A 15,088-nucleotide genomic window follows, 5' to 3' on the forward strand; every position below is an offset into this window, starting at 1 on the left:
CAGAGCAAGACTCCGTCTCAAAAAAGAAAAAGAAAAATATCTTTCTATAAGTATAAAGAGAAAAGAGTAGTTTTTGTTTGCTGAATGAAAATGTTTTCATTTATGGTAAAAATTTTAAAATAGTATGGAAAAAAGTTGGATAATCCCAAATACTATAAACTACAGAGTTATTAATCACAAAGTTTAGCCATATATGCCCAAATTAAACCTTATCCTCCTACATCATAGTTTAGGCTTTTTGCTTTCATAAGAATTGTTTTTATGTTCTGGTTTATGGATCTGCAAACATGTAGTCTTTATTATGTGGATATTAGATAAGCTAAATGTATTTGATTTAGCTGTATTTCAGCTTCAGTGCATCTATAATATATAATTGCCCTAAGAAAAATTTATTAACTCTAGCTTTATATAATGTTTGAAGTCTCTTCCTCAGTGTTTATCTTGGGATATGGATCTTAATTTTTTTACGTTTTATACATCATTTGGAAGCTGTTTAACTTTTAAATTTTGTAAACTAAATCAGTAATGATTTGTTTTTTTTTTTTAATTTGAGACGGAGTTTCGCTCTTGTTACTGAGGCTGGAGTGCAGTGGTGCGATCTCAGCTCGCTGCAACCTCCGCCTCCTGGGTTCAAGCAATTCTGCCTCAGCCTACTGAGTAGCTGGGATTACAGGGGTGCACCACCATGCCTAGCTAATTTTTTTGTATTTTTAGTAGAGACGGGGTTTCTCCATGTTGGTCAGGCTGGTCTCGAACTCCTGACCTCAGGTGACCTGCCCGCCTTGGCTTCCCAAAGTGCTGGGATTACAGGCGTGAATCAATAATAATTTATACAAATAGCACATATTGTATTTATGAGTCAAGTTTTATCAGTTGTGAATTCCTTTAGGGGCATTTGAATGTAGGGCTTTTAAATACAATCACAGAATTTAGAATAGAGGACAGTTGCTTCAGCTGGTTGTACTCCAATATTTTTGATGATTTTCTGCACACACATGCACACACACGTGCGCACACGTGAGAAGTGAAACTACAAGAAAAATCCAGCATGTTTAAGTCACTGTAATCACCATCTGAACATGGATTTTGCTTCTGTAAAAGTAAGCATATTGTAAAGGTTTCATTTTGTTGATATATTCTCTGTATTTTAAATATTGTTAGCTGGGCACGGTGACTCACTCCTGTAATCTCAGCACCTTGGGAGGCCGAGGCAGGCGGATTGCCTGAGGTCAGGAGTTCAAGACCAGCCTGGCCAACATGGTGAAACCTCGTCTCTACTAAAAATACAAAAAAATTAGCTGGGCGTGGTGGCGCGCATCTGTAATCCCAGCTACTCGGGAAGCCGAGGCAAGGGAATCGGTTTAACCTGGGAGGTGGAGGTTGCAGTGAGCCGAGATTGTACCACTGCACTCCAGCCTGGGCGACAGAGTGAGACACTGTCTCAAAAAAAGTAAAGATTGTCCAGTGATGGATTAGAGGCTATTTTGGTCTCTTGTGTGTTGGTATAATTAAGCCCAGTGGAATAGCTGTGTCTTTCTAGTTTTTAGTGCCTATCACTTTAGGAAGTTTCCCAATTCCCAAACTGTACAGAAGTGCTTTCAGGTATCAACAGTAATCAGTTACATCACTGACATACTTTTTATTTTATTTTATTTATTTATTTTTGAAATGGAGTCTCGCTCTATTGCCCAGGCTGGAGTGCAGTGGCACGATCTCGGCTCACCGCAAGCTCCGCCTCCCAGGTTCATGCCATTCTCCTGCCTCAGCCTCCCGTAGCTGGGATTACAGGCGCCTGCCACCATGCCCAGCTAATTTTTTGTATTTTTAGTAGAGATGGGGTTTCACCGTGTTAGCCAGGATGGTCTCTATCTCCTGACCTCGTGATCCGCCCGCCTCAGCCTCCCAAAGTGCTGGGATTACAGGCGTGAGCCACCGCGCCCGGCCAGCGTCATACTTTTTAAAATGTTGGTGAGTGGTATGCTCCTGTGGAAATATTTATTAATAGTTAAATTTTATGTTAAGTCGTTATATGAGCAGTGCATATTGATGTGTAGAGCAATGCATTGAGTAACTAGAACCTCTATTTTATATTATTGTTTCTCAGTTTATGTAGCTTAATTACGTTGTTATGTTGAAAAGTAATTTCCATCTTTTTTTTTTTTTTTTTTTTTTTTGAGACGAAATCTCACTCTGTTGCCTGGGCTGGAGTGCAGTGGTGCAATCTCAGCTCACTGCAGCCTCCGCCTCCCAGGTTCAAGCGATTCTCTTGCCTCTGCCTCCCGAGTAGCTGGGACTACTGTCGTGCACCACCACACCTGGCTAATTTTTGTATTTTTAGTAGAGGTGGGGTTTTATGTTGACCAGGCTTGTCTTGAAGTCTTAACCTCAGTGATATACCCACTTCGGCCTCCCAAAGTGCTGGGATTATAGGCGGGAGCCACCACACCCGGACTTTTGAGCAGTTTCTGTTTGCTAAGCATTATTATAAGTGCATTATTGTAAGTGCATTACATGTATAATTCCATGCAATCTTCACAACAAGCCTATGAAGTAGGAATTCTCCTCATTTTACAGATAAAGACAGTGAGGCCCAAGAAAGTTATGTAACTTCTGCAGGGTCACATAACTGTGAGTGGTAAATCCTCAGTTTGAACCTAGGCAGTTTAATTCTAGAGCCAGTACTCTTTACTTTCTGGGCTGTATATCAGATGTTGTTGGCAAATAGCTTATTTATCTGAAGCTTAACTCTCTAGCCTTAGTTTCTTCAGCTGTAAATTGAGGAATTGTACTAGATCTCTCAGGTCACTTCCATTTCTAACCTAAGAACTCTGTCATCCTGATTTACAAAACACAACACGTTTAATGTTTCAAATTACTTTCTGTTTGTAATCTCTGGATCCCTTATGAGATAAAGGTTAAGCTGTTTCCAACATCACACTGTTAATGGGTCATGGAACTGGATCAGATCTTTTCTGGGACTTCCTGGTTTTGCTGGTTGCCTCATGCATATACTTAGTGTGTATATGCATATATGGGTTAATAATTGAATTTAATTGACCTTCTTAATTTTTTTTTCTTCTTTTTTTTGACTGAGTCTCACTTTGTCGCCCAGGCTGGAGTGCAGTGGTGCGATCTTGGCTCACTGCAACCTCTGCCTCCCAGGTTCAAGCGATTCTCCTGCCTCAGCCTCCCAAGTAGCTAGGATTACAGGCATCCACCACTATGCCCAGCTAATTTTTGTATTTTTAATAGAGACAGCATTTCACCATGTTGGCCAGGCTGGTCTTGAACTCCTGACCTCAAGTGATCCACCCTCTTTGGCCTCCCAAAGTGCTGGGATTACAGGAGTAAGCCACCATGCCCAGCGACTTTCTTAATTTTCTATTTATATCTGTTTAAATGAGATTTGCTTCAAACAGTGAAAAATAATACTGCTTTCATTTTCTTTCTTTTTTCAAAATCATATCACATCATTTTCTTAAAAAAACCTTTTCTCTCTGATTATAAGTATTACATTCTTATTGTATGGAATATAGAAATTTTAGAAATTTTTAATGTAGACAGTGAAAGGGCCCATTCAAGGAGTAAATATTACTAGTTTGATATTTATTTATTTAAAAATATACACATATACCATATTTGCTATTTTTTGGGACATTGTGCTTCTTTTAAAATTTTCTCAGTTTTTATTTTGAAATAATTATAGGCTGGGCGCAGTGGCTCACGCCTGTAATCTCAGCACTTTGGGAGGCCGAGGCAGGCAGATCACCTGAGGTCAGGCATTCGAGACCAGCTTGGCCAACATGGCAAAACCCTGTCTCCAGAAAAAAAATAGAAAAATTAGCTGAGCGTGGTGGGGGCACCAGTAATCCCAGCTACTTGGGAGGCTGAGGCATGAGAATCACTTGAACCCTGGAGGCAGAGGTTGCAGTGAGCTGAGATTATGCCACTGCATTCCAGACTGAATGATAGACGGAGACTCTGTCTCAAAAAAAAAAAAAAAAAATTCTTGGCTGGGCACTGTGGCTCTCTCCTGTAAACCCAGCACCCCAGCACTTTGGGAGGCTGACAGGAATGGATGCTTGAGCCGTGGAGTTTAGCCTGGGCAACATAGCAAGACCCCGTCTCTTACCCCTTCCCCAAAAAATCCTCCTCTGTTAGCAGTTTTCTGACAATTTGTATTATAAATGGGTATTTGCGATAAAAATTTTGTTAGATGCTTTTTTTATTTATATGCTCCTGTGTTTTTTCTCCTTTAGCAGGTTAACATGGTGAGTTACGTTGTTTGATTTTCAAATATTGAACCAGCCTTGCATCCCTGGAATGAACCCTGTTTGGTCATGATATATAATTAATTTTATATATTGCTGAATTCTGTTTGCTAATATTTGGTTAAGTATTTTTGCATCTATATTCGTGAGGGATATTGGCCCTTCTACAGACACCATCTCCATAGTGCCAGGTGGAGAAGGGTTAAGTTTTGTACCTTGCTTGCTGGGAAGGAAATGGACACCTCATGCTTGCTTCCCACCCCACCTCACCCCACCCCACCCCACCCCACCCCACCCCACCCCACCCCACCCCACCCTGTGCAGGGGGTTGGGCGGGTAAAGGAGATGAGGGTTGTGGGTGGCTTTGTTACCTCCGATATACCACTGAGTGGTGTTAATCCTGAGTCTCCAGCAGGCTTCCTCTGGTAGTACCTCGGCAAGGAGCAGGAGGGGTGCCTCATAAGTGCTGTTTGGGTTTGAAGTCCAAGTTCCCCAAATGGACTCCTCTGACAGCATGTTAAGAGAGGGGGAGAGACTTGTTACTGCTAGACAATGATGACAATCCCAGCTCCCTACTTGGTCTTCTCTGATACCACCCTGGTGTGGAGAGAGATATGGCCGGATTATAACCTGACAGGCTTAAAAATCAAGGCTCTCCATTTGGCCTTTCCTGGTGAGGGTGGGAGTGGAAATGGGGCTGGTTTTTTATGTGGTGTTTGGCTGGAATAGAGTGGGTTATTGTCTAAAAGTCTTACATCTTGCTAGGCTGTCTCTTTTTCTGGTCCTTTGGTTTTTCTTTTCTTTCTTTTTTTTTTGAGGTGGAGTCTCACTGTCTCCCAGGTTGGAGTACAGTGGCATGATCTCGGCTCACTGCAACCTCTGCCTCCAGGGCTCAAGCGACTCTCCAGCCTCAGCCTGAGAGTAGCTACTCAGCCTCAGAGTAGCTACTCAGCCTCAGAGTAGCTGGGACTACAGGCACACTCCACCGCGCCCAGGTAATTTTTTGTATTTTAGTAGAGACGGAGTTTCACCATGTTGCCCAGGGTGGTCTCAAACTTTTCAGCTCCAGCGATCCGCCTGCCTCAGCCTCCCAAAGTGCTGAGATTACAGGCGTGAGCCACTGCACCCAGCCGGTCTTTTGTTTTTTCTTGGAGCTTTTTTTATCTGCACCTTTGACATTTCCAGGTTGCTAGCTTCTCTAGTATCCACTTTGGGATATATATGGCAAAATAAACAAACAAAACACCCAAAGAGCTCACTACTGTGTTGTTCCTTGGGTCCCAAGGTGCCTGGCCAGTCAGTCTTCCTCTTCATTTCTCAGAGTCTTCTTATGTTTATTTTATATATAATGTCCATAGAGTAATAGGAAAAAGTATGTCTACTCCATCTTCCTGCAAGCAGAAATCCATTTATTTTTTAAAATGTACCTGTCAGAGGCCAGGCACCATGGCTCATGCCTGTAATCCCAGCACTTTGGGAGGCCAAGACGGGCAGATCACTTGAGGTCAGGAGTTCGAGAGCAGTCTGGCCAACGTGGTGAAACCCTGTCTCTAGTAAAAATACAAAAATTAGCCAGGCGTGGTGGCGCACGCCTGTAGTTCCAGCTACTTGGAAGGCTGAGGTGGGAGAATTGCTTCAACCCGGGAGGCGGAGATTGCAGTGAGTTGAGATGGTACCATTGCACTCCAGCCTGGGTGACAGAACGAGACTCCATCTCAAAAAAAAAAAAAAAAAGGTACCTGTCAGAAAAATCTAGAGAGCAAAACGGTACACATACTGAAGAGTAGCTCTCTCTTCTGTTCCTCTACTTTTTAGAAGCTGTTTCCTTCATTCTGTCTTCATGTCTGTCATTATATTCCATCCTGTCTCACAATCTGTTTTACACTCTTAAGACAATTTTTCTTTCTTTTTTTCTTTTTTTTTTTTCCTAAGATGGGGTCTCACTCTGTCACTCAGGCTGGAATGCAATGGCACAGTCATGGCTCAGCTTCCTAAGTAGCTGGGAGTATAAGCACATGCCAGCACAGCCAGCTAATTTTTTTGTTGTTGTTGTTTTTGTTTGTTTGTTTTTTACAGAGATGGGATTTCACGATGTTGCCCAGGCTGGTTTTGAACTCCTGGCCTCAAGTGATCCTCCCGCCTCCAGCTACCAGAGTGCTAGGATTATAGGTATGAGCCACCACACCTAGCCAATTATTCTTTCTAAAACACACTCTGATTATGTCATCCTCTTTTTCAGCTATCTGCAGAGAATCCCATTGTGTGTAGAATGTTTTTAACTTGACAGAGGTTTCCATGGCTCTCTCAGGTCCTCGTTTCCAAGAAGGAACAACTGTTGTGTCTAAAAGGGCTACTGCCTTATGCAGCCTATTTGCTGCATGAACTGTGCATGATGTATGCCCAGGGACAAGCCTTTTAAGAAGTTCATCATTTGAGGCTGGGTGTGGTGGTTCACACCTGTAATCCCAGCATTTTGGGAGGCTGAGACGGGAGGATCACTTGAGCCCAGGAGTTTGAGACCAGCCTGGGCAACATGGCAAAACCCTATCGCTACAAAAAAAAGTACAAAAATTAGCCCAGCGTTGTGGTGCACACCTGTGGTCCCAGCTACTTGGGAGGCTTAGGTGGAAGGATCACTTGAGCTCAGGAGGCAAAGGTTGCAGTGAGCCAAGATTGTGCCACTGCACTCCAGCCTGGGTGACATAGTGAGGCCCTGTCTCAAAAAAAGGAAAAAAAAATAAAGTTCATTATTTGAAACATAGTCGAGCCCACAGCTATCAGGGACATTTCTGAAACAAGTACCTTGGGCACCTATGTGCTTCCAAAGCTGTATGTGAAGCTACATAACTACATGAGTTGTGCCATTCGCAGAAAGGTAGTCAAGAATCGAACTTGTAAAGCCTGCAAGGACCAAACATGTCTACCTGACTTAGACTTTTGAGTGCTGCCCCATGACCTCCACCAAAGTCCGTATAAGGAGCCGACTCCTTAAGGACTGAAGAAAAACTATCTTCTGGAAAAAGATAAAGTGGAGATTATACTAAAAACAAAAACAAAAAGGTTTTCATCATCTGGCCCCAGTTTATATTTTCAACTTTTTATCTTGTTATTCCCCTGTGCCTTTTACATACTGATGGTTCACCACTGTTTCCTGCCTTCATACTTTGGTCATGCAATTTCCTCTGCTAGTATACTTTTATTTTTATTTATTGATCTATTTATTTATTTTTAAATTTTTGCTATTGTACTTTATTCATCTCTATCCACATAATTTTACTACTCCTTTAACGCTTAGCTCAAAAGTCACTTCCAAGAACTCTTTTCTGATTTTACCAACTGGAAATAACTTCTCTTTTCCAACTCCTTTAACTTTCCAATTTTTAGCAAATTAGATAAATATCCACTTTATTAGTCTTTTGAGGATTGAGTGAACTAATTATGACTCTCTTTAATATCCCTTTCTAGACTGTAGAATCATTGAGAGCAAGATCTGATTCAGATTCATTTGGATGAATGCCACATTGCCTAGTGTAATACCCTTCATATAGTATGTGTACAGTAAATATTTAATAGATGAATAAATGTAACATATGAGTGCTTTTGCTTTTTTTTTTTTTTTTTTTTGAGACAGTATCTTGCTGTGTCATCCAGGCTGGAGTACAATGGCATGATCATAGCTCACTGAAGCCATAACCTCCTAGGCTCAAGTGGTCTTCCCACCTTGGCCTCCTGAGGACCTGGGACTATAGGCACGTGCCACCACGCTGGCTAATTTTTTTTTTTTTTGTAGGGATGAGGTCTCCCTATGTTGCCCAGGCTAATTTCAAACTCCTAGGCTCAAGCAATCCTCTGGCCTTGGCTTCCCAAAGTGCTGAGATTACAGGCCTGAGCCACCGGGTTGGCCGGATTGTATCCTCAGTGCCTTAGTGTCTGGCATCTCTATATAATAGACACTTAGTAAATGTTTGAGACTGAACAGTGCAAAATTGTGATTCAAAAAGTCTTCATTAGGCTGCGCACGGTGGCTCACACCTGTAATCCCAGCACTTTGGGAAGCCGAGGCGGGTAGATCACCTGAGGTCAACGGTTCGAGACCAGCCTGGCCAGCATGGTGAAAACGTGTCTCTACTAAAAAATACAAAAATTAGTGGAGAGAGGCGGCTTGTGCCTGTAGTCCCAACTACTCGGGAGGCTGAGACAGGAGAATCGCTTGAACCTGGAAGGCAGAGGTTGCAATAAGCTGAGATTGCGCCACCGCACTCCAGCCTGGGCACAGAGCGAGACTCTGTCTCAAAAAAAAAAAAAAAAAATCTTTGTTATGTAATGTAACTTTGATACATTCTTCTGCTGATAACTAGAAAATATTTAGTATTTTATATTTGAGATTTAGTTCTTGCAGAAGTACAAGAGCCCTCAGTTCATGTGAGGCAGTATATTGTCATGGGTAAGAATATGAACTTTAAAATGAGATTGCCTAGGTTGAACAGTTCTCTGTACTACTTGCTAGTACAAGTTGATCTTGGGGAACTTAACCCATTTATATCAGTTGTCACATCTATAAAATGAGGAAATTAATAGTACCTACTTTATATAGTTGTGAGGATTATTTGGGCATATAAGTCAAACACGTAGAACAGTTCCTCAGACACTGTAAATGCCATGAATGTTAGCTAATTTATTGTTACTTCCTGAAAATGCACTGAACACGGTTCAGAACTTGAGTTTGTGAGTTAGGGTGTACATTCTTTTTAAGGAATAACACTCTGCTGACATCACATATCCTCTAGCTGTACATCCTGTCTGCTTCCTACTATTTTAACTAGGTATTGAATGGATAGCTGATAATCCCAGTTACATGACAGACAGTATTCAGCATGTAAATGTTAAATAAACAAGTCCTCTTGAGACATTTTAACTCAGAAAGGATTAACTAGTTCATGCTAAGGAACAACATGTACTTTTGTTCACTGTATTTCCTTTGAAGAATATTTTATTTGTTCTGGTTGAATATACTTTCCCATTCAGTGCAGTTAACTCTTCCTAGGTGATAAACCCTTTACCGGTCTTTACTGACAAATTAAAATGACTATTTAACGTTCCCTGTATTATTTTGAACCTTAAAACTGTTTTAACAGCCCTCTAAAATTAATCTGGCTCTGATTTTTTTTTCTTCTTTAATTTTTTTTTTTTTTTTTTTTTGAGACAGAGTCGCTGTCACCTAGGCTGGAGTGCAATGGCGCGATCTTGGCTCATTGCAACCTCCGCCTCCCAGGTTCAAGCAATTCTCCTACCTCAGCCTCCCGAGTAGCTGGGATTACAGGCACATGCTACCACGTCCAGCTAATTTTTGTATTTTTAGTAGAGACAGCATTTCACCATGTTGGCTAGGCTGGTCTGGAACTCCTGACCTCAAGTGATCCACCTGCCTCGACCTCCAACAGTGCTAGGATTACAGGCGTGAGCCACCGCACCCGCCCTTCTGTTTTTTTAAATTTTAATAAAAACAAGGTCTCCATATGTTGCCCAGGCTGGTCTTGAACTTCTTCGCTGAAGCAGTCCTCCTGAGTTCGCCTCCCAAAGTGTTGGGATTACAGAAATGAGCCACCATACCCAGCTTAGATATTTTTAATAACAGGTGAATTCTGAAATCTACATTGGTGTAAGATTAAAAGAATACATATGGTATTGTTCCATTCATATAAAGTACAAATGCAGGGAAAACTAAACTATATTGTTTATGGATATATGCTTAGGTAGTAAAGCTATAAAGAAAAACAAGGGATTATCATGAAGATAGGTTTGTGGTTACTATGGGTGGTCGGCAGGGGGTGGGGAAGGGAATTATTGATTAGAAGTGGTACACAGTGATACTGGGCTGGTGCCTTGGGGTGATTACAGATTAAAGGAAGTGAATAGTTGCAAGCCTGAGATGAAAAGATTTGCTTTTTTATCCAGCTGTTTGTATTGCATTATTAATACATGCATATAATTGGTTTTAGTGCCTAAATAGCAAAATTTCAGACACATACTGACGAAAATGTATTACTTCTTCTGCAAAAGGGTCTTTTAACAAAAGTTGACACTTTCGTAATATAGAAGCCCTACTTTTCCTCCATACTTCTTTCTGTATTCTGAATCACCTAAAAAAAAACCATCTCAACTGGATCTTTTTTCCAGTGTGCTTTTCTTCTAATTCTAAAGATATTTATTATATCTTCTTTGTACTTCCTCTTCTTCTTCTTATTTTTTTTTTTTTAAAGACTAGGTCTTGTTCTGTTGCCCAGGTGCAGTAATAGCTCACTATAGCCTGGAAGTCCCCAGCTCAAGTGACTCTTTTGGACTTCTGGGTTTTTTTGTTTGTTTTGAGATGGAGTCTTGCTCTGTCACCAGGCTGGAGTGCAGTGGCATGATCTCGGCTCACTGCAACCTCCAACTCCCTGGTTCAAGTGATTCTCCTGCCTCAGTCTCCCAAGTAGCTGGGATTACAGGCATGCACCACCACACCCAGATAATTTTTGTATTTTTAATAGAGACAGTGTTTCACCATGTCGGCCAGGAGGCTCTCATCTCCTGACCTCGTGATCCACCTGCTTCGGCCTCCCAAAGTGCTGGAATTACAGGTGTGAGCCACCGCACCCGGCCTGGACTTCTTTAAAGTTAAAATGATTAGCTAGTTTCATTTGGCATCTTTAGATTTGAATTTGTCATCTACGTAGGAAAAAGAAGTTATATAATCTTAGGGACAGTAGAAAATGGTTTGTTTATATAGCCTTAGATACATAACAAAGCCATTAATGTTTTAAGAAACACCCCAAAGCCATCTGAGTAGCTACATGAATACATATGATTGGAGATTTGTGTTAGGTTTAGCTGTGATCTTAACCCTTGACATCATAGTATAGTGGTTAAGAGTAGAGGAAATAAACAACTAGGTAAATCTAGAATACAGGTTATTCTACAAAGAACTACCCTGAACTTGTCTCCCCCTAAAAAGAAACAAGAGCTAGGGCACTGTTCTAGACTAAAAGACACTAGCAAGATGTGATGACCAAGTGTAATACATGAACCTAAATTGAATCCTGATTTTTGGAGGAAACAGAAATAAAATAAATTTGAGGGGCAATTAGGGGAGATATTATGGTTAATTTTCTTAGGTGTGGTAATGTGTATTGTACTTATTTAGGAAGTTGTCATTATTATTAGAAGATGAATAACAACTGGATGCCGAAATATTTATGGTGAATATCATAATGTCTTTATATTAAACAGTTAAGAAGTGTCTTCAAAATAAGATATGAATGCTTAAAAAAAAACACCTATGATCAGCCAGGCACGGTGACTCACGCCTGTAATCCCAGCACTTTGGTAGGCCGAGGCAGGCAGATCACCTGAGGTCAGGAGTTCGAGACCAGCCTGACCAACATGGAGAAACCCCGTCTCTACTAAAAATACAAAAAAAAATTAGCCGGGCTTGGTGGCACATGCCTGTAATCCCAGCTACTCGGGAGGCTGAGGCAGGAGAATTGCTTGAACCGAGGAGGTGGAGGTTGTGGTGAGCCGAGATCGTACCATTGCACTCCAGCCTGGGCAACAAGAGCGAAACTCCATCTCAAAAACAAAAAAAACACTATGATCATTCTTTAAATCTCTGGTAGGATTTAGTAGCTTTATTTTCAACCCATCCTTTAGCTCCAAGGAAAAGCAGCATGAAGTGATGGAAAGAGTACTGAATTTGTTGTCAAAATTCTTGGAGTTTAATTTCAGCATCAATATTAACTCTCTAGGTGACTTTAAATCATTTAAATTATAATAATTTAAATAATTTGTGTAAAGCAAATCTGGCAAAATGTTTGAATCCCAAATTTGAATCCTGGCTCGGACAATTTCAAGTAGGACCTTGGTCACTTCACTTAACTTTTCTGTGCCTTCATTGTCTCGTGTAAAATGAAGATAATAGTAATGTCTACCTCATAAAAGTGTTGTGAGGATTAAATAGTATTATAAAGATAAAGTGCTCAGAATAGTGCCTGAGCATTCAACAAATGTAGCTGCTGCTGCTGTTATTGTTTTATATTTATTTTATTATCTATTACTTTGAAGAGAGCTTGGAAGACTCAAGAGGTAGAAAATATAAAACAGAAGTCCAGGCAGGCAGAACCCTCAAAACAACTAGGCAAAGATCAAGCAGTTGTTGTTATAATTAGGAAATGAGATCCCACATGAAATCACCCTGCAGGGTCTAACCTGTAGTAGGTATTCATAAATGTTAGTTTCCTTCTGTTATCCCTTTCTTTCCTTCCTCATTTTATAGTATTATTTAATCTGAGGCTTGCAGAGCACTATGTGACCATCCATTCTAATTCTGCTTCTTCTCTGCTTCTGGTTTGTATAACATTGAGTCTTCGAGGTGCCTTTGCACACATCTTATTTCATCTATTACATTTTGATTTGATGTTGGCTTGTTGCCTCTACTAATTACTACATAATACAGTTGAATAAAATATAGTTTAAGCATATACACAGAACTGTCTGAAAAGAAAAATCACGCTCTAGTGTTGACTGAAGATATATAATATTAAGAAAAATTATAGGTTATTTTATATTAAAACATATACTAATTAGAAGCTTAGAATCTGTCTATAATACCAAAATCTAATAGCCAGAAAACAGAATTTTGATTATTAAAAATAACTGATCAAATTTATCTACAATTTATATATTTCTGATAATTAAAGAAATAAGTGAGTCTCCAAAATATGGTAAGAATATTTTTTAAAAATCTATAATAAATCTTTAAATCTCTGTTAGAACTTGATAGCATTATTAACTCATCCTTTAGCTCCAAGGAAAAGCAGCATGAAATGGTGGAAAGAACACTGAATTTGTTGTCGAAATTCTTGGAGTTTAATTTCAACACCAATATTAACTCTCTAGATGACTTTAAATACTCTAAACATCTTGGCATCTCAAGCCTCACTGTGCATTAGAATCACGTGGGGAGCTTTTTAAAAAATGCAGATATAAAATTTCTGTCTCTTCTGAGATTCTGATTCAGTTGTCCTAGGATGAGGCATGGACATTGATACAAATACACTGTAAAATTTCAGACTATTCTAATGTATAGCCAGGGTTGAAAACCTTTGTATATGTAGTTTCCTTGGAAGCCTAGGCAAAGGAGGCATCAAAGAGAATTGGCTTTTTATATCCTACACTGTCTAGGAGAGAGAGAGACTGAAACTGGGAGATGCAAACAACCTTTTCTAGACAGGTACTCTCTGCTCTGTGGCACTGATGTTACGTTAGGTCTCACAGGAAGCTGGATTAGATTTTGCCCAAGACGATCTGTTTTTCTTTGCCCTGATTACTTGCTCTACAAGTAGCGTTCTGATTATTAAATCAGCCTCCTAGACACTTCAGAATTATAAAAGGATGTGCCTGAGATAATGCTTGAGCATTCTTTTTAGACACTTGAGTGTCTAGAATTGGTTCTCTAGTTTATCCATTAGTACCTTGTGAGTTTGCTTTTAGTCTCTCTTGGTTTGACCAACTCTGGGGAACTGACAGGGTCAAGTTTTGATCTCTAAGGGTGAATACCAGATCCTGATTCCTGGTAAATTTACCAAATTAGTGACCCTGTGTTATCTCTTGACATTTGGACATTTTAAATTTATGGATATAAAACTCCCTGAAGCCGTGAAGAATTTGTAATAAAGTATTATAATAAAAATATAAATAAAGAGAAATATGTAATAAAATCTTTCCTGTATACTCTTAAGACTGAAATAGCTGTCCAAAGGCAGATTTTTTTTTTTGCCAGCTATGGTGGCTCACGGCTGTAATCCCAGCACTTTGAGAGGCCAAAGCAGGAGGATCACTTGAGCCCAGGAGTTCAAGACCAGCCTGGGCATCCTAGGGAGACCCTATCTCTACAAAAAATAAGAAAACTAATTGGGCTTGGTGGTACACACCTGTGGTCCCAGCTACTCAGGAAGCTGAGGTGGGAAGATCCCTTGGGCCTGGGAGGTCAAGGCTACAGTGAACCGTGATCACACTACTGCACTCCAGCCTGAGCAACAGAGCAAGAGTCTGTCTCAGTCAATCAATAAAGAAAGAAAAAGGCAGGTTTTTGTTTTGTTTATAATGATCCTGATTGACTGTTGGTGGAAATGTAAATACAGCCATTATGGAAAACACTGTGAAGGTTCCTCAAAAATTAAAATAGAGGCTGGGTGTGGTGACTCACGCCTGTAATCCCAGCACTTTGGGAGGCTGAGGCAGGCAGATTGCTGGAGCTCAGGAGTTCAAGACCAACCTGGGCAGCATGGCAAAACCCCATCTCTACAAAAAAAATACAAAAATTAGCTAGGCGTGGTGGTGCGTGCCTATAGCCCCAGCTACTTGGGAGGCTGAGGTGGGAGAATTGCTTGAGCCTGACAAGCGGTGGTTGCAGTGGGCCAAGACTGCACCACTGCACTCCAGCCTGGATTACACAGTGAGACCCTGTCTCAAAAAATAAAATGAAATAGAACTACCATACGATCCAGCAATCTCTCTATTGGATATATGTCCAAAGGAAATGAAATCAGGATGTTGAAGAGATACTGCACTCTCATGTTTATTGCAGCACTATTCACAATAGCCAAGATAAGGAATCAACCTAAGTGTCCGTCTACAGATAAATAGAGAAAATGTGTGTATGTCTGTGTGCATGCACCATATTCATATTCAGCCACAAAACAGAATGAAGTCCTGTTATTTGCAGCAACATGGATGAATCTGGAGGACATTATATTAAGTGAAATTAGCCAGGCACAGAA

At 40.5% G+C, this 15,088-nt stretch overlaps 1 protein-coding gene, 1 long non-coding RNA gene and 1 pseudogene across 6 annotated transcripts in view; 2 read left to right on the plus strand and 1 right to left on the minus strand.

The window, feature by feature from the left end:
* The window catches only part of SAMD8 (sterile alpha motif domain containing 8), an 82,531-nt gene that overhangs the window by 19,032 nt on the left and 48,411 nt on the right, over positions 1–15,088 (plus strand). The gene's annotated exons all lie outside the window — the stretch shown is intronic.
* On the minus strand, positions 1,019–5,075 carry LOC124902460 (uncharacterized). Its single transcript, XR_007062202.1, has 3 exons — positions 5,027–5,075; positions 4,643–4,777; positions 1,019–1,092 (listed from the first exon to the last, which is right to left on the minus strand). It is a non-coding gene; the product is annotated as an uncharacterized LOC124902460 (long non-coding RNA).
* RPS26P42 (ribosomal protein S26 pseudogene 42) lies at positions 6,992–7,247 on the plus strand (annotated as a pseudogene).

Source organism: Homo sapiens, chromosome 10 (genome assembly GCF_000001405.40).
Source record: "Homo sapiens chromosome 10, GRCh38.p14 Primary Assembly".
NCBI classification, from domain to species: domain Eukaryota; kingdom Metazoa; phylum Chordata; class Mammalia; order Primates; family Hominidae; genus Homo; species Homo sapiens.